Source organism: Homo sapiens, chromosome X (assembly GCF_000001405.40).
Source record: "Homo sapiens chromosome X, GRCh38.p14 Primary Assembly".
Taxonomy (NCBI): domain Eukaryota; kingdom Metazoa; phylum Chordata; class Mammalia; order Primates; family Hominidae; genus Homo; species Homo sapiens.
Window position 1 is genome coordinate 1381387 of NC_000023.11, and position 18379 is coordinate 1399765.

General features: G+C 56.8%; 3 protein-coding genes and 1 long non-coding RNA gene across 10 annotated transcripts in view, besides 4 other annotated features; 3 read left to right on the forward strand and 1 right to left on the reverse strand.

Annotated features, from left to right (window-relative positions):
* IL3RA (interleukin 3 receptor subunit alpha) overlaps window positions 1-1303 on the forward strand; it is a 45905-nt gene extending 44602 nt beyond the window's left edge. For all 7 annotated transcript variants that reach the window (NM_002183.4, XM_005274432.2, NM_001267713.2 and 4 more), the window contains one exon: window positions 1005-1303. In NM_002183.4, the coding sequence (NP_002174.1) occupies window positions 1005-1079 (75 nt within the window). In that variant the 3' untranslated portion in view covers window positions 1080-1303. The remainder of the gene's footprint in view (window positions 1-1004) is intronic.
* Window positions 4766-10727, reverse strand: SLC25A6 (solute carrier family 25 member 6). The gene is made up of 4 exons (NM_001636.4): window positions 10513-10727; window positions 7855-8341; window positions 5893-6033; window positions 4766-5373 (listed from the first exon to the last, which is right to left on the reverse strand). Exons 1-4 carry the CDS (start codon window positions 10621-10623, stop codon window positions 5216-5218), a joined length of 897 nt encoding a protein of 298 aa, NP_001627.2. The 5' UTR covers window positions 10624-10727; the 3' UTR covers window positions 4766-5215.
* Window positions 9991-10586: an enhancer, noted in NCBI's record as "NANOG-H3K27ac-H3K4me1 hESC enhancer chrX:1510270-1510865 (GRCh37/hg19 assembly coordinates)". NCBI's record gives its function as "activates a minimal SCP1, AML or CMV promoter by ChIP-STARR-seq in naive and primed H9 embryonic stem cells {active_cell/tissue: H9 hESC(naive and primed)}" and the evidence as "EXISTENCE:reporter gene assay evidence [ECO:0000049][PMID:30033119]".
* Window positions 10587-11181: an enhancer, noted in NCBI's record as "NANOG-H3K27ac-H3K4me1 hESC enhancer chrX:1510866-1511460 (GRCh37/hg19 assembly coordinates)". NCBI's record gives its function as "activates a minimal SCP1, AML or CMV promoter by ChIP-STARR-seq in naive and primed H9 embryonic stem cells {active_cell/tissue: H9 hESC(naive and primed)}" and the evidence as "EXISTENCE:reporter gene assay evidence [ECO:0000049][PMID:30033119]".
* Window positions 10587-11227: a biological region, named in NCBI's record as "NANOG-H3K27ac-H3K4me1 hESC enhancers GRCh37_chrX:1510866-1511460 and GRCh37_chrY:1460904-1461506".
* LOC124900597 (serine/arginine repetitive matrix protein 1-like) lies at window positions 10622-17475 on the forward strand. The gene is made up of 5 exons (XM_011546186.2): window positions 10622-10845; window positions 10956-11377; window positions 13744-14162; window positions 14986-15838; window positions 17439-17475. The coding sequence occupies exons 1-4, from the start codon at window positions 10622-10624 to the stop codon at window positions 15004-15006; spliced, it is 1086 nt and encodes a 361-aa protein (XP_011544488.2). The 3' UTR covers window positions 15007-15838; window positions 17439-17475.
* Window positions 10625-11227: an enhancer, noted in NCBI's record as "NANOG-H3K27ac-H3K4me1 hESC enhancer chrY:1460904-1461506 (GRCh37/hg19 assembly coordinates)". NCBI's record gives its function as "activates a minimal SCP1, AML or CMV promoter by ChIP-STARR-seq in primed H9 embryonic stem cells {active_cell/tissue: H9 hESC(primed)}" and the evidence as "EXISTENCE:reporter gene assay evidence [ECO:0000049][PMID:30033119]".
* LINC00106 (long intergenic non-protein coding RNA 106) lies at window positions 15639-18026 on the forward strand. The gene is made up of 3 exons (NR_130733.1): window positions 15639-15838; window positions 17439-17572; window positions 17981-18026. It is a non-coding gene; the product is annotated as a long intergenic non-protein coding RNA 106 (long non-coding RNA).

Consider the following 18379-nt stretch of genomic DNA (forward strand, 5'->3'; position numbering starts at 1 on the left):
AATGGCCTGGACTAGGAGGCTGGACACCTGTCTGCTGGCGCTGGTGGGCGGCTGGGAAAAGCTGCAGGATGAAGGGAGTGGGGGGACACTGGGCTCCCAGCCCACCGTGATCACGGGCCGTCTCCGCACCCTGCACACCAGAGCAGAGCAGATTTTTTTTTTTTTTTTTAGATGGAGTTTTGCTCTTGTTGCCCAGGCTAGAGTGCAATGGTGCGATCTTGGCTCACCACAACCTCCACCTTCCCAGTCCAAGGTTCAAGCGATTGTCCTGCCTCAGCCTCCCGAGTAGCTGGGACTACAGGCACGCACCGACACGCCCAGCTAATTTTGTATTTTTAGTAGAGACGGGGTTTCACCATGTTGGCCAGGATGGTCTCGATCTCCTGACCTTGTGATCCCCCTGCCTCGGCCTCCCAAAGTGCTGGGATTACAGGCATGAGCCACCATGCCCAGCCTAGTTTTCAACAAGTTTTTAGTGATACCTGTGTCCCTAAGAGAAAGGAAGGGCAGAGGAAAAGGAGGCAGACATCTCTGTCAGAGTTTTTTGTTTTGTTTTGTTTTGTTTGTTTTTGTTTTTGAGACGCAGTTTTGTTCGTTGCCCCGGCTGGAGTGCAATGGTGCAATCTCGGCTCACTGCAACCTCCACCTTCCCGGTTGAAGGTTCAAGCGATTCTCCTGCCTCAGCCTCCCAAGTAGCTGGGACTACAGGCATGCACCAACACACCCAGCTAATTCTGCATTTTTAGTAGAGAAGGGGTTTCACCATGTTGGCCAGGATGGTCTGGATCTCCTGACCTTATGGTCCGCTCGCCTCGGCCTCCCAAAGTGCTGGGATTACAGGTGTGACCCACCGCGCCTGGCCCAAAGTGCTGGGATGACAGGCGTGAGACACCATGCCTGGCCCACAGAGCAGATCTGAGATGGGACAGGCCCCCGCAGATCAGGACGTGGGCTCTGTTATCTGGGGGGTGGCCGACTCACCCTGCCTCCTCTCGTCTCTGCAGGTGGTCTGGGAGGCGGGCAAAGCCGGCCTGGAGGAGTGTCTGGTGACTGAAGTACAGGTCGTGCAGAAAACTTGAGACTGGGGTTCAGGGCTTGTGGGGGTCTGCCTCAATCTCCCTGGCCGGGCCAGGCGCCTGCACAGACTGGCTGCTGGACCTGCGCACGCAGCCCAGGAATGGACATTCCTAACGGGTGGTGGGCATGGGAGATGCCTGTGTAATTTCGTCCGAAGCTGCCAGGAAGAAGAACAGAACTTTGTGTGTTTATTTCATGATAAAGTGATTTTTTTTTTTTTAACCCACTCACTGGTCCCGGTCTCTGGATTCAGCCCCATTCCTCCAACACTACTAGAGAGACTGTTTCCCCGGTTTTTTTTTTTTGGAGATGGAGTCAGGATCTGTCTCCCAGGTTGGAGTGCAGTGATGCAATCTCAGCTCACTGCAACCGCTGCCTCCCGGGCTCAAGCAATTCTCCTGCCTCAGCCTCCCAAGTAGCTGGGATTACAGGCACCTGCCACCACCCCTGGCTAATTTTTATATTAGCCGGTCTCGAACTCCTGACCTTGTGATCTGCCCGCCTCTGCCTCCCAAAGTGCTGGGATTACAGGCGTGAGCCACCACACCTGGCCTTTTTTCTTTTTTCAGACCGAGTCTCGGTCTGTCACCCAGGCTGGAGTGCAGTGGCACCATCTCAGCTCACAGCAACCTCTGCCTCCTGGGCTCAAGCGATTCTCCTGCCTCAGCCTCTCGAATAGCTGAGACTACAGGCACATGCCACCACGCCCGGCTAGCTTTGTGTTTTTAGTAGAGACGGGGTTTCACCATGTTGGCCAGGCTGGTCTGGAACTCTTGACCTCATGTGATCCGCCCATCTCGGCCTCCCAAAATGTTGGGATTACAGGCTGGCCTGTAGTCACCGAGTCTGGCCCCCCACCACCCCTGTTTGTTTTTTTGAGACAAAGTCTGGCTCTGTCACTCAGGCTGGAGTGCAGTGGCACAATCTCACCTCACAGCAACCTCTGCCTCCTGGGTTCAAGCAACTCTCCTGCCTCAGCCTCTCGAGTAGCTGGGATTAGAGGTATGCACCATCATGCCTGGCTAACATTTATTTTTAGTAGAGACAGGGCTTCTCCATGTTGGTCAGGCTGGTCCTGAACTCCCGACCTCAGGTGATTCACCTGCCTCACCATCCCAAAGTGCTGGGATTACAGAGGTAAACCACTGAGCCCAACTGGAACTGTGATTTTGATAGTACCCACAAGGCAGGATTCTCTTAAAAACAGCTATGCCACCATGTATTACTGTCTATGAAGTTATCTCCAACACTCAGCTTGCTGAGAGCCTCAGCATTTCAAGATTGTGCAGGACTGGCCAGGCACAGTGACTCATGCCTGTCATCCCAGCACTTTGGGAGGCCGAGGCGGGCGGATCACGAGGTCAGGAGATTGAGACCAGCCTGGCTGACACGGTGAAACCCTTGTCTCTACTAAATACACAAAAAAAATTACCGGGCTGTGGTGGCAGGCGCCTGTAGTCCCAGCTACTCAGGAGGCTGAGGCAGAGAATGGCGTGAACCCGGGAGGTGGAGCTTGCAGTGAGCTGAGATTGCGCCACAGCACTCCAGCCTGGGTGACAGAGTGAGACTCTGTCTCAAAAACAAAAAAACAAAATTAGCCGGGCATGGTGGCGGGCACCTGTAATCCCAGCTACGTGGGAAGCTGAGGCAGAATGGCTTGAACCTCGGAGATGGAAGTAGAGTTGAGCCGTTACCACACCATTGCAGTCCTGCCTGGGTGACAAGAGACTCCATCTCAAAGAAAAAAAAAAATCAAGGAGTAAACTTGTTGGTCTTTGAATTGTAACTTTGGAGAACCTCCCCGCCACTACCGAATTCCCCAAAGTCCAGTGTACCATGTAGGATTTCACTTGATCCGCGGAGGAAACCATGCCCCAATTACTAGGTTAAAATCTATTAAGTGCCGGGCGCGGTGGCTCACACCTGTAATCCCAGCACTTTGGGAGGCTGAGGGTGGATCACCTGAGGTGAGGAGTTCGAGACCAGCCTGACCAACACAGTGAAACCCCGTCTCTACTAAAAATACAAAAATTAGCCGGGCATGGTGGCGGCTGCCTGTAATCCCAGCTACTTGGGAGGCTGAGGCAGGAGAATCGCTTGAACCCAGGAGGCGGAGGTGGCAGTGAGCTGAGATTGCGCCACTGCACTCCAGCGTGGGGGACAGAGCAAGACTCCGTCTCAAAAAAAATAAAAAAATAAAAATAAAAAACTATTAAGTATCAGGAGTGAAAATACATCCAAGAGTGAATGAAGCAGTGACCACAGCTCCAGGCAGGAACTCGGAGCCCAGGTCCCCGTGGGTCGAGGCTGTTTTGTGGAGGGTGTGCAGGACCCACAGGGCTGATGGTGGAAGGTCCTGCTTTGCCACTTGCCTCTGGGCCGAGTCACGTGACCAAGACGAGGGCTCACGGAGCTTTCCTGATCTCTGATATCATCGGGACACAAATGAGGGTTTCTACCTGGCCAAGTGCAGAGATGTAGAGTCTGCCTTTCGGGCCAGGAGCGGTGGCTCATACCTGTCGTCCCACCATGTTCGGAGGCTTAGGTGGGCGGATCATTTGAGTCCAGGAGCTCGAGAGCAGCCAGGTAGGTAAACATGGTGAAACCCCATCTCCACTAAAAATACTAAAATCAGCCGGGTGTGGTGGCGCATGCCTGTAGCCCCAGCTACTTGGGAGGCTGAGGCAGGAGAATTGCTTGAACCTGGGAGGCAGAGGTTGCACCACTGTACTCCAGCCTGGGCGAGAGCGAGACTCCATCTCAAAAAACAGATTCTTTTTACTATGGCTGGGATTTCTGGAGAGCACGGGAGAGCCGGCTCTGGAACCCCAGGGCTGTAGTCTCTGTGGCCCTGCCGTGCGCTGACACCAAGGCCCAAGGTTCGGCCCGGTAGAGATTCAACACGGCTTTTCTTGCCCCGCAATGAATGTTTGAGCAGAAAGAGCTTGAAGGAAGCTGTCGTGCCTCGCGGTGGGTACCCCTTGTGGTGGATTCTCACGGGTGAACCCGCGGACACACAGCTGCCACTCTGGGGACCCCGACCGACTCCACTGTTCATGCTGGAATGGGGGCTGGAGTGGCCCTCGGGAGCTACAGGAGGTGGAGAGGAACGCAGGGTGTCACGCCTGTTTCAGTTTCCCCAAGATTCACGCTGAAAACGCCCCTCTCCCAAGTGATGGCGTTGGGAAGTGGGGGTCTTTGGGAGTCATGAGGCCTCATGGATGGGATCAGTGCCCTTACAGAAAGGACTCCAGAGAGCACCCTGGCCTCATCCATCATCTGAGGACACACAGGGAGAAGGCGCCATCTAGAAGCCAGGAACTGGGTACTCACCAGAGACTGAATCTACCATACCTTGGTTTTCTGGGACCTCCAGCCTCCAGAGCTGAGACATGAGATCATACAAATGCTCTCAGAGAGGGTACAGTAAGTGCAGGTGCCCTGGGGTCCTCCAGCATTTATCAGGGAGCCCGGCTACACTTCTGCCAGCCTTGGTTTCTACCCCCCGCCTCTTCCCAGCTGTGACCCTGCCCTCTGTGCCCCAGGGGTGCTGGGGAGGAGGCAGCACTGCAGACCAGGAACGTGGGCCAGCCACGGGCAGAGCGTGGCCCCATCTGCGTCCCGTGGGCCCAGCGCCCATCTCCAGACCCCAGGCCGCCCTGTGGAGAGGTGCGTGGCCAGGCAGGAGGACCTCTGCGTCCTCTGTTTATTGTTTTGCAGCAGGAGGCCCAACATAGAACATACTCGCCAGTACTCGGCTGTGCAAAACAGGGGCTAGCGCTGAAGTACAAATGGGAAAACGTGATTCTTTTGTTTTAAATAAATACTTAGAACACGACTTGGCTCCTACAAGCATCTGGACTCTAGGTCTCAGTACTGGAGTGTCTCACCCATGGGCCCCACGCAGGGACGCCACGGTTCCCTCCCACCCCGTGATCAAGACACGGAATCGGCTGCCGATGGTTGGATCGCAATGCGCCCCTTTTCTAGAGCCTTCCCCGGCCATCTACAGGCAGGATGCGGCTGGGAAAAAGACAACTGGAATTTCTCGAAGGTTGATGGTCCGCACGGTTGAGGATTCTACGTGGTTCTCTTGGTTCCCCTGGTGTGTGTGTGTGTGTGGAGGAGGCCGCGGCCCTTAGATCACCTTCTTGAGCTCGTCGTACAGGACCAGCACGAAGGCGCCCCCCATGCCCCGCAGGACGTTGGACCACGCACCCTTGAAGAAGGCCTTGCCCCCCTCATCTCTGAAGATCTTCCTCCAACAGTCGACGGTGCCCGTGTACATGATGTCAGCTGCAACGACAGGGAGACAGTGAGGGCCTCGCCGCCAAGCTCTTCAAGACACGGACGCCACCTGCACCCACAAAGACGTTTCACAGAAATAACACCCCAGACGCCTGAGCCACAGTTCTGATTACAGGAGGGATACCTGAGGCTCCCCCAGCTCAAGCCCTCCTCCTAAGCCACTGTCTCAGGGAGGGCTGGACACAGGACTTCAGGCCCCGCCCTGGGTGTCCCCCATCTCCACCCCGGGGTCCATGCAGAGAAGGCAGGATCGAGGGTGTGGGTGCAACCAGAGGTTCTAGGAGGCGGGGATTTAGAAACTGCCGCCCGGACCATGAAACCCCAAAAAGATCAGAAGCCCATCGTTCAGGAAAATCCTTCCACACAGCCAGGTTACTTTCGGACACACTTGCTTGTCTCACACGCCCTGGAAGTGCCTCCTTTGATGGTTCCTGACCTCCCACGGGCCTAGGGCAAGGAGCTTGGTTCCCCTTCCCGGCAGCAAGGGTCCCCCGCCCCCCCGAGTACCTCCTTTGCGCCCGGACTGCATCATCATGCGCCGCCGCACCGTGTCGAAGGGGTAGGACACCACGCCGGCCACGGCCGTCACGGTCTGCGCGATCATCCAGCTCACCACGATGTGCGTGTTCTTGGGGTCGGGGAGCATGCCTGCGCGGGAACGGCACGTCACCGTCTCCAGCGCCTGCACGGCCACCCGAGACCAGGGTCGGCCCCCAGGGTGTGCTCACGGCCCCCTGAGGTGGTGCCGAGCTCTTCCGAGACCACCAGTGCCCCCTCCACGTGGCTGCTCAGTGCCAGCTGACGTTTACAACACGAGAGGTCGGGGCAGGGCCAGAGGGGAAAAGGCCGCCTGCCACCTACCGGAGCCCAGCAAGACAGTCCCAGAGGCCGGGGTTAGGCCTGTTTGGGGAAGGGAATAGGGCCCTGACCTTCTGAAGGGTCACCGTTACTATGGGAGTTACACTCTGTCCTCAAAATCCACATGCTGAAGTCCCACCCCCACCCCAGGACCTCAGGATGCAACTGTACTTGGATATAAGGTCTTGAAAGAGGTAAGACTAAAGGAGGCCAGTAGGGTGGGCCCTGATCCTACGACCCCAGTGTCCTTCTAAAAAGAGATGAGGACACAGACACACGGAGGGATGACCCTGTGAGGACACAGGGAGAAGACGGTGTCTACAAGCCAAAAAGAGAGGCCTCAGAAGGAACCAGCCCTGCCCACTCCTTGATGTCAGACTTCCAGCCTCCAGGACTCCGGGAGAATCAATGTCTGCTGTTTATAAGCCACCCAGTCTATAGTATTGTTTTAGGAGCCTGAAATGGACTAAGACACCTCATAAGAAGAGCAGATAAGGACACAGACACACACAGAGGGATGACCCTGTGAGGACACAGGGAGAAGACGGCGTCTACAAGCCCAGGAGAGAGGCCTCAGGAGGAACCAGCCCTGCCCCACACCTTGATCTCAGACTTCCAGACTCCAGGATTATGGAAGAATCAATGTCTGTTGTTTACAGTCCACCCACTCTATGGTATTCTGTGATAGCAGCCTCAAATGGACTAAGACATCTCATCAGAAGAGGACACGAGGACACAGACACACACAGAGGGACGACCCTGTGAGGACACAGGGAAGACGGAGTCTCCAAGCCCAGGAGAGAGGCCTCAGGAGGAACCAGCCCTGCCCACACCTGGATCTCAGACTTCCAGCCTCCAGGACTGTGGGAGAATCAATGTCTGTTGTTTCTAAGTCACCCAGTCTATGGTGTTCTGGGATGGCAGCCTGAAATGGACTAAGACATCTCATAACAAGAGATGAGGACACAGACACACACACAGGAAAAAGCCTGAGAAGACAGCATCTCCAAGCCCAGGAGAGAGGCCTCAGGAGGAACCAGCCCTGCCCATGCCTTGGTCTCAGACCTTCAGCCTGCAGGACTGTGGGAGAATCAATGTCTGCTGTTTACAATCCACCCAGTCTATGGTATTCTGTGATAGCAGCCTGAAATGGATTAAGACATCTCATAACAAGAGGAGATGAGGACACAGACACACACAGAGGGACGACCCCGTGAGGGCACAGGGAGAAGACGGCATCTACAAGCCTAGGAGAGAGGCCGCAGGAGGAACCAGCCCTGCCCACACCTGGATCTCAGACCTCCAGCCTCCAGGACTGTAGGAAAATCAATGTCTGTTGTTTATAGTCACCCAGTCTATGGTATTCTGTGATAGCAGCCTGAAATGGATTAAGACATCCCATAAGAAGAGAGGATGAGGACACAGACACACACAGAGGGATGATGCTGTGAGGGCACAGGGAGAAGACGGCGTCTCCAAGTCCAGGAGAGAGGCCGCAGGAGGAACCAGCCCTGCCCACACCTTATCTCAGACCTTCAGCCCACAGGACCCTGGGGGAACGTCTGTGTGTTGAGCCCGTCTCTGGGACTTCGCGATGGCAGCCACACGTACCCTTGGCCGTATCGTACACGCCGAAGTAGGCCGCCCGGTAGATGATGATGCCCTGCACGGAGACACTGAAGCCCTGGTACAGGCCCCGGATGCCGTCGGACTTGGTGATCTTCACCAGGCAGTCTCCCAGGCCTCGGAACTCGCGCTCTGTGCCTGACTTTCCCACGTCCGCTGCCAGGCGGGTTCTGGCGAAATCCAGCGGGTACACGAAGCAGAGGGAGGTCGCGCCGGCCGCACCGCCGGAGGCCAGGTTGCCCGCAAAGTACCTCCAGAACTGCGTGTGCTTGTCCACGCCCCCCAGGAAGATCTGCTTGTACTTATCCTTGAAGGCGAAGTTGAGGGCTTGAGTGGGGAAGTAGCGAATGACGTTGGCAAGGTTGCCCCTCCAGAAGGACAGCACGCCCTGCTCCTTGGGGATGCGGACAATGCAGTCCACGATGCCCTTGTACTGCTTGTCGGCGGCGATCTGCTTGCTGGCGTGCTGGACCTGGGGGACGCAGAGGGTGTTCAGACCAGACCCAGGGCCAACCACCCAGAAACATCCCAGCTACAGGGTGCATCCTTTTTTTGACACAAGTCACTCTTGTTGCCCAAGCTGGAGTGCAATGGGGTGATCAAGTGATTCTCCTGTCTCAGCCTCCCGAGTAGCTGGGACTATAGGCGCCCACCACCACGCCCGGCTAATTTTTTTGCTTATTTAGTAGAGACGAGCGTTCCACCATGTTAGTCAGGATGGTCTCGATCTGCTGACCTCGTGAGCCACCGCACCCGGCTCTTTCTTTTTTTAAAAAGACAAGGTCTCATGCTGTTACCCGGGTTTGAGTGTAGTGGTGCGATCTCACCTCACTGCAGCCTCCAACTCCTGGATTAAGCCATCCTCCCGCCTCAGTCTCCCGAGTACCCGGGTCTACAGATGCACAACCATCAAGCTCCACTAAGTTGAAAAATTACTTTTAGAGATGGAGTCTTGCTACGATGACCAAGCTGCTCTCAAACTCCTGAGCTCAGGTGATCCTCCCTGGGCCTCTTGAAGCGCTGGGACATCCCGCCCTGCTAAGTTTAAAAAAATTTTTTAAGCCGGGCACAGTGGCTCATGCCTGTAATCTCAGCACTTTGGGAGGCTGAGGTGGGTGGATCACGACGTCAGGAGATCAAGAGCATCCTAACACGGTGAAACCCTGTCTCTACTAAAAATACAGAACATTAGCAAGGTGTGGTGGCAGGTGCCTGCTAGGGAGGCTGAGGCAGAATGGCGTGAACCCAGGAGGCGGAGGCTACAGTGAGCCGAGATCGTGCCACTGCACTCCAGCCTGGGCGACAGGGAGAGACTCCATCTCAAAAAAAAAAAAAAAGGTTTTTTTAAGATGTGGGGTCTTGCTATGTTACTCTGGCTGGTCTCAAACGATCCTCCCTGGGCCTCTCCAAGTGCTGGGACACCCCGCCCTGCTAAGTTTAAAAAATTTTCTTAGAGACGGGGTCTTGCTACGTTGCCCTGGCTGGTCTCAAACTCCTGGGCTCAAACGATCCTCCCTGGGCCTCTCCGAGTGCTGGGACACCCCGCCCTGCTAAGTTTAAAACTTTTTCTTAGAGACGGGGTCTTGCTATGTTGCCCTGGCTGGTCTCAAACTCCTGAGCTCAGGCGATCCTCCCTGGGCCTCTCAAAGTGCGGGGACACCCCGCCTGCTAAGTTTTAAAAATTTTCTTAGAGATGGGGTCTTGCTATGTTGTCCTGGCTGGTCTCAAACTCCCGGGACACGCCACCCTGTACTAGGTTTAAAAAATTATCTTAGAGATGCGGTCTTGCTCTGTTGCCCAGGCTGGTCTCAAACTCCTGAGCTCACGCGATCCTCTCCGGGCCTCTCAATGCACTGGGACGTCCTGCTTCGTTAAGTTAAAATAATTTTTTTTGAGGTGAGGTCTTGCTGTGTGGCCCCGGCTGCTCTCAAACTCCTGGCCTCAAGCAATACTCCCCGGGCCTCTCAAAAGCGCTGGGATCGCGGGCGTGACCTGTCCTTGCAGCCAAGCCTATTCATTCCCATCACCGAGCTGTCACTCGGAGTACAACGTTAGCAAGGACGTCCTGGCGGCAATGTTCCTAGGCATCATGCTACTTTCTATAAGCCTCTCCCAAAAGACAAAAAATGCATTGCTCTGGATCAGAATTGCACAAATGAGCTAAGAAGGGGGTAAGAACCACCAATAACCATATCCTGGTTATTCCAGGACACCTGCGGGCAGGCTCGTTGCCCTATTGGCCTTAGAATTACCCTTCACGGTGGAGGGAGCAAGAGCAGACACCTGCCAGGCATCCACCGGAAGGGTTGGTCCCAGCCGGGGGACCCGCAGGATTGAGCTCAAGGTCAAGGCCCGCCAGCCGCAGGGTCCGTCCATGGGCCCTGCTCAGCGCGCATGCGCCCTCCAATCCGTGCCGCATTTCCCCCCGCCCGCCGGGCCCAGTGCGCACGCGTGGACGTCGCCACGCCCTGCAGCAGCGGTCACGTGACGCGGCCCCCGGAAGCCGGCGGCGCGTGGACAAAGCGATCGCGGCCTTCCACTTCCGGCGCCCGCCTGCAAGGCTCTGCTGCCCACGTCCCCGCCCGACCCGGCCACTCGGTTCCCGTCCCCTAGTCCCCGGAGCGGCCGCGCCCGCGTCCCCACCTGCAGCAGCAGCTTGACCCGCTCGATCGGAGCCACGGCCGTCTTGGAGATGGCGGCGGCGATGCCTCCGGCCAAGAAGTCTTTGGCGAAGGAGATGGCCTGTTCCGTCATGGTGGCAGGGCGGGCAGCGGAACGGGAGGACAGCCGGAGAACGGGCGCGGAGAGTGAATGGAGGGCGTCGCTGGCTCAGCCCTGCCGCCGCCTGGACCGAAAGGACGGAGCAGCCACCGCGCAGCCGCTAAGACGCCGACGCCACGCCCACTCTCCGCCCCCGCGCCTCCTCGCGCCGCGCTCATTGGCTGCGCCGCCAGGCCCCGCCCCACACCAGCCTGCGTGCCTCGCCTCTGAGGGCTGCCGGGAATCCCGCTGCGTCCCGCCCCGCACTCCAGCGAACCGCGCCCATTGGCTGCGCTCCCCGGAGACGTCCCGCCCCGCACCCCTAGGTATGCCGGGAGCCAGGCCCCGCCCATGCGCCGTAGGGGCCGCTGGGGGTTCCGCGGCAGCCTTGACCTTGTGAAGGTCAGGCCGCTGCCAGTACCCGAGCGGGCGGGAGGGCAGCTGCGGAGTCAGAAGCCCACCCTGATGCCCAGTTCGCTCCGAGTGCGTCGTCCGCTTTCTCCCGGAGGCCGCGGCGACCCCGCCGGGATGTGCGACATGTGGTGCCCCGACCCCCGACCCTTGACCCTTGACCTCCGGGCAGCTCCGACCCTTTCAACACTCTCCGGGGTCGTGCGTCGGGAGACCCCGGCCCCTGCCCGCGTGCACCCGGGGGGCCCCGCGCGAAGCCTGCGGCGGCTTCCACGTGGGCGCGGCTCAGTCCCGCTGCCGATCCGTGACTCCGCGCCGCCCTCCGCGCCCGGCCTAGGTTGGTGGGGGGGGGATCTCTCTGGGCCTCCGTTCTTTGACCCCGCGGTGCCCTCCGCGCCGGGGCTGGGGGTTCCGTGGGCCGCGCCCACCCGCCCGGGCTCCCCTATTTCCCCGTGTCTGTGCCCGTGTCTGCCCGGCGGGGGCTGCGGCCGGGGTCCTCCTTCGCGACCTCCCACTCCGCCCTTCCTCCCTCCCTCCCTCCCTCCCTCCCGCCTCCCTCCTCCCTCCCTCCCGCCTCCCTCCTCCCTCCTCCCGCCTCCTCTCCCTTCCCGGCTCTCTCCCGCCCGCCCTTTTCTCCCCGTCTCTTCCTTCCCTGCTTGCCTTTGCTTTTTGCTGCTTTCCCGCCTCCCTCCTTTTTCTCCGTCTTTCCGTCTCTGCCTTCGTTTCCCTCCCTCCCTTTTTCTTTCATTTCTCTCTCCCTTTCTCCTTCCTTTCTTGCTACGTTTCTTCCCTCTTTTTCATTTTTTTCCTTCCTTTTTCTGCTTTTCTCCCTCCGCCCTTCCTCTGTTTTTTCTTTGCTCCCTCCCTCTTTTTTCTCCCTCTTTCCGTCTCTCCTTCCCTTTTCCTCTTTCCTTCCCTTCCTCCCTTTTCTGCCTTTCCCTCCTTCCCTCTCTTTTCCTTTTCCTCTTTATTTCCTGTCTCCCTTCCTCTCGTCCCTTTCTCCCCTCTCTCTTTTCCGTTTTTTTTTTCTTTTGAGACAGAGTTTCGCTCTTGTTGCCCAAGCTGGAGTGCAAGCTCCGCCTCCCGGGTTCAAGCGATTCTCCTGCCTCAGCCTCCCAAGTAGCTGGAATGACAGGCATGCGCCACCGCGCCCAGCTAATTTTATATTTTTAGTAGAGACGGGGTTTCGCCATGTTGGTCAGGCTGGTCTCGAACTCCGGACTTCAGGGGATCCGCCCACTTCGGCTTCCCAAAGTGCTGGGATGACAGGTGTGTGAGCCACCACGCCTAGCTGTCTCTTTTCCATTTTTTAATTTTTTTTTCATTTTTCCTCTCTCCCTTTGCCTCTCTTTTTCTTCTTCCTTTTATTCTTTCCTGTCTTGTTCTTTCCTTCCTCTCTGTTTCTCCCTTTCTCCCTGTTTTCCTTTTTTTTTTTTGAGATGGAGACTTGTTCTGTCACCGAGGCTGGAGTGCAGTGGCGTGATCTCAGCTCACTGCAACCTCTGCCTCTCAGGTTCTAGAGATTCTTGTGCCTCAACTTCCCAAGTAGCTGGGATTACAGGTGCCAGCCACCCCACCCGGCTATTTTTTTTTTTAAGGACAGATGGCGTTTCACCATGTTGGCCAGGCTGGTCTTGAACTCCTGACCTCAGGTGATCCGCCCACCTCGGCCTCCCAAAGTGCTGGATTACAGTCGTGCGCCACTGCGTCCCGCCTCCTTTTCTTTTTTCTTCTCTCCTCCGTCTTTTTCTATCCTACCTCCCTGCCTCTTTCCTCTCTCCTCCCTCCTTTTCCTTTTTCTTCTCTCCTCCCTCCCTCCTGTTTTTCTCCATCATTCCCTCTCCCTTCCTTTCTTTTTCTCCCGTTCCCCGTTTGCCTCCCTCCCCTTTTTCTTTCCTGTCTCCCTGTCTCCTTTGCTCTTTTCCTCCCTTTCTCCCGTCCCTCCCTCCCCGCCTTCCTTTTCACTTCTTTCCCTTCCCATTGCTTCCTTGCGTTTCCTGCCTTTCCCTGTCTCTCCCTTTCTTTCCTGCCTTTCCCTGCCTCTCTCTTTCCTGCCTTTCCCCATCTCTCCCTTTCCTGCCTTTCCCTGTCTCTCCCTTTCTTTCCCTCTCCTCCCACTCTCCCTCCTTCCTCCCTTCTTTTCTTTCCTCTTCTTTCCCTGTGTCTTTCTTTTTTCTTTCCTTCTCTCTTCCTTTTCTCTCCCTGTGTCTTTCTCGCTCTTGTTTTTCCTTTCTCTCCTTTGTGTACTGAGAAAATGACAGTCCCCGGCTGTGGGTGGGCAGGAGTGACCCGCCCCAGAGAGCGGGGTCACCCTGGGTGACTCCTGGGTGCAGCTGTGAGCCCTGCCTGAGGCTTTTCCTGACCTCTGGGGAGGGCGGCTCAGCCTGGGGCTGGAGGTTGGGGCCAGCTCTGGAGGCTGGAGTGGCTGCTGGGCGGCGGGACGGGTGTCTCAGAAGTCACTGAGGCATGGGTAGGTCTAACCTTGGGACATTGCTGTGGGGAGGGCTGTGGAGACCAAGCACATTCCTGAGGCTCTGCCAGGGCAGCGGGGGTGGACAGTGTCCCCTGAGGACCCAGGACCAAGCCAGGCTCGCTACAGGGGTCCTGGAATAGAGGACAGAGGCCAGGAGCGCTGTGGGTGCTGGGCAGGGGTGGGGAGTTTGCTGGGGAGCTGCGCCTTACAGACCTGTGTTTGTTTCCCAGCCTCAGCGAGGCCGGGCTGGACGGGGCCCTGGTGCTGGTTTTCAGTGCCTCAGCGAGGCCGGGACCAGAGCTGCTATTTCCAGATGAGGCTGGCTCGCATCTGCTCTGGCCGGGGCTCCAGGCCTGAGCCCTGCAACACGGCGTTCCCTTTCCAAGTCTGCAAAGCCTGTCTTAGGGGAGAGAAGAAGTTTCCTTCCATGCGGGTGGGGACGGCTAACCATGTCCAGACACTGAGACCGGTGCTCTGTGTGCTCAGCCTTCAGCCTGCACTGGCTTGGTGGCTTGGTGACCCGCCAGCAGGGTGGTGCTGTCTGTGGGCTCTGCTCAAGCTCCTCTCAGAGCCAGGAGGATGCCCGCCTGCTTGGGCCTGGCTCCCAGGATGTGCTTGGCAAATGCTTCTGGGATGGATGGATGGATGGGTGAGTGGATAACGGATGGATGGATAATGGATAGATGGATAATGGATAGATGGATGGATGGATGGATGATGGATGGATGGATAATGAATGGGTGGGTGGATGGATGGATGTGCTCGATCGGCAAATGCTTCTGGAATGGATGGATAATTGGATGGGTAATGGGTGGGTGGATGGATAATGGATGGATGGATGGATAATGGATGGATGGATGGATAATGGATAGATGGATGGATAATGTATAGATGGATGGATGATGGATGGATGGATGGATAATGGGTGGATGGATGATGGATAATGGGTGGATGGATGAATAATGGATGCTTCTGGGATGGATGGATAATGAGTGGGTGGATGGATAATGAATGGGTGGATGGACAGATGGATAGATGGATATGTTTGCTTGGCAAATGATTCTAGAATGAATGGATGGATGGATAATGAATGGGTGGGTGGGTGGATGGATGGATGCACTCTGTTGGCAAATGCTTCTGGGATGGATGGATGGATAATGGATGGATAGATGGATAATCAATGAGTGGGTGGATGGATGGATAGATGGATGTGTTTGCTTGGTAAATGATTCTGGAATGGATGGGTGGATGGATGGATGGATGCGCTCGATCGGCAAATGCTTCTGGAATGGATGGATAATTGGATGGGTAATGGGTGGGTGGATGGATGCATGGATAGATGGATGTGCTCACTCAGCAAATGCTTCTGGAATGAATGGATGATGGATGGATGAATAGATGGATGGATGGATGAATGGATGGATGGATGGATGGATGAATGAATTGCTAATTGGGGCTGTTTTTCCATACAGAGTGCTGCACGTGGGACTTAGCCTTGGACACTAACTCCTTTGCCCCTCGTATCTGGGAGGGAACAACACAGTTGCTATGCCTGACTAGGGCATGACCTGGGAGGCCTTTGGGGCCACACAGCCTCCTTGGGAAAGGAGGATCAGGTGGGCCTCACACCCAGGAATTGGAAGTGGGAGAGACAACAGCTGCTGGGTAGTGGGGGTAGAGCTGTGTCTCTCACTGCCCTGCCCCTCCAAGGACCAAGAAGAAAGGAATGAGCCCCGATCCGCCTGCCAGGTACCCACCCATGAGAACCCCTTCTCTGCCAGCATCTGATAAAATTACCTGCGTAGCTTTAGAGATCACTGCTGCCTGACCAGCAGCCGCTCTGCTGGAATCTGTCCAGAAAGCCCCTTGGGGCTCAGAAAAGTAGGTGGGTTAATAATAGAAGTAGATGTGGGTTTTTTTGTTTGTGTGTTTATTGAGACGGAGTCTTGCTCTGTGGCCCAGGCTGGAGTGCAGTGGCGTGATCTCGGCTCGCTGCAATCCCTGCCTCCCAGGTTCAAGCATGTCTTCTGCCTCAGCCTCCCAAGTAGCTGGGATAGCAAGTGTGCACCACCACGCCTGATTTTTGTATTTTTAGTAGAGATGGGGTTCCATCCATCCATTCCAGAAGCATTTGGCAAGCACATCCTGGGTGCCAGGCCCAAGCAGGCTGGTCTCAAACTCCTGACCTCAAGTGATCCGCCCACCTCGGCCTCCCAAAGTGCCGGGATGACAGCTGTGAGCCACCGCGCCCCGCCCAGAAGCAGAGGTGTTTTAACGGGAAGACTTCAGGCTTCATCGGACGGCCGGGAAGGAATCAGAGCAGGGGTGAGGTTGGCTTTGTGCGGGGTGGGGTGGGGTGCCAGGCTCTGTGTCGGGTGGGGGCAGCAGCACATCTTTTGTAATTAATCATTGCCGAGGCTCTGCCTGTACGAAGTGTGGTCCGGGGAGGGCTGATGAGGCTGCAGGATGAGGGGGCTTGACAGACCCCTTTCCCCAGAAGAGGGCCCCCAAAAGGCATTGCCCCTGAAGAGGGCTCCCCAAGACCTCATCCCTGAAAAGGGACTCCCAGGGTCACCCCCCTGAAAAGGGCTCCTCAAAAGGCCCCCCGAACGGGGTCCCCCCAAGACTGCCCTCTGAAGGAGGCCCCCGAAGACTTCCCCCGTGAAGGTGCCCCCCAAGACCTGCCCCCTGGAAGAGGGCTCCCCAAGACCTCTCCCCCTAGAAGAGCCCCCTAAGACTTTTACCCTGGAAAAGGGCTCTCTGCAAAGCTTCCCTGGACGTGCGCCTTCGAGCTGGGCAGGTAGGGAGGAGCTGTGTACTCGACATCATCCTTAGGATCTGTTGTCCTCCCGCTTCCCCTGCCCCGGCCCCCAGATGAATCCAGAGGCTGTTTTAGAGCCAGACGGACACTCCTGGTATGCACCAGACACTCATAGTGCAGTGCTCGCTGAGTAGAGGAGGAGTTAGTGGGTGAACCCGGCCCGCCAGGCTGCCCTGCACAGAATTCCAGCCTTGTCACCCCACTGGTTTTTAAATCATCACAATCCTCGGGATGTTCTGTGCATGCCACACACAGACTCTTAAGAGTCCAGAGGTCCTGTTTTTGCACAGTTACTCCAATGAATAAAAAGACGGGCTGGGCGTGGTGGCTCACGCCTGTCATCCGAGCACTTTGGGAGGCCGAGGCGGGGTGGATTGCCTGAAGTCAAGAGCTGAAGACCAGCCTGGCCAACATGGTGAAACCTCGTCTCTACTGAAAATACAAAAAAATTAGCTGGGCGTGGTGGTGGGCGCCTGTAATTTTAGCTATTGCGGAGGCTAAGGCAGGAGAATCGCTTGAACCCGGGAGGCGGAGGTTGCAGTGAGCCGAGATCACACCACTGCACTCCAGCCTGGGCGACAGTGAGACTGTCTCAAAAAAAAAAAAAAAAAAAAATTTCTAGCAGACACTGAAGGGAGAGGGAGAGGAACAAGCCCCAGGGACCCTTTATCCGACTTCCTTCCACCTGGGGGACTCCCTCCACGGGCCCTTGCTTTAAGGGCAAATGGCGAGGGCACCAGAACACAGGGAGGCCATGCCGGAGGTCCCTGCTGCAACCATGCGGCCCCCCAGCTCACTCCCAGCAGCCAAGACGAAGGGGGGCCTGGGCTCCCCCTAGGGCAGGCGCCTCTGATTCTCTCCACCGAGAGGCACCTCCCATGCCGGCCTCTTCCTGGGGTGACTCCCAGAACCTTCTTGGACCCATGAACATTTCAATCTGGGGTGGGGCCTTCCCTGGGCATCCAAGTGGTGGGAATCTGTCCCTAGCCCCTAGAACTCCTGGAGGGCTGGGCCCACCTCTGTCTGCATCCCGTCCCCATTCCCCGCCCCGGGTGGCAGGGGCTGGAGAGGAAGGAGCTTCAGGCTTCAAAACCATCAAAGCAGGTTTCTTCCGAGATGGCCAGTGGTCACCTGAGATGGAGCAGAGAGCACCTGTGGCGGGCATCTTCTCTAGAAGCCGCCTGTGAGCCCTACGGAGGCCCTGGGCTTCGTGCCGTAAGACAGACGGTGTCCTGCAGGTACGTGGGGGAACCCTGTAGGCAGGGACTTTGCCTGCTTTCTCAGAACAGGACAGAGGAGTTTGGCTGGGGCAGCCCGAGGTGACCGGGATGCTGTCGCCCCAGCTCTGGGCCAGGCTGATGTGGGAAGGGAGGAAGGAGGGACAGTTACGGGCCAGGCTGACGTGGGAAGGGAGGGAGGAGGGAGGTAGGAGGGACAGAGGCCTGGCTGCTCTGCAGGGCTGGGCTCCGTGGCATCTCCTGGTGGCTGTCAGGTCCTGCCTGGCCCCACGCTGAGGCCAGTGTGATGGAGGGGCCTGGAAGCCTCATCCTTCTTGATTGCCACGCGGTGAGGGCCACAGGCATGCGCCACCGCACTGGACTCCCCCTTTCATCATCAAAGCCAAATTTTCTTCTTGTTTCATCTAGGCCTCCCATGGAGACACCATGTGTGATTGTAAAAAAAAAAAAAAAATGAGTCAGGCCGGGCACGGTGGCTCACGCCTGCAATGCCAGCACTTTAGGAGGCCGAGGTGGGCAGATCACCTGAGGTCAGGAGTTCGAGACCAGCCTGGCCAACATGGTGAAACCCCGTCTCTACTAAAAATAGAAAAATTAGCCGCGTGTGGTGGCGCATGCCCGTAATCCCTGCACTGTGGGAGGCCGAGGTGGGCGGATCACCTGAGGTTAGGAGTTCTAGACCACCCTGGCCAACATGGTGAAACCCCGTCTCTACTAAAAATACAAAAATTAGCTGGGTTTGGTGGTGCGTGCCTGTAATCCCAGCACTTTGGGAGGCCAAGGTGGGCGGATTACCTGAGGTCGGGA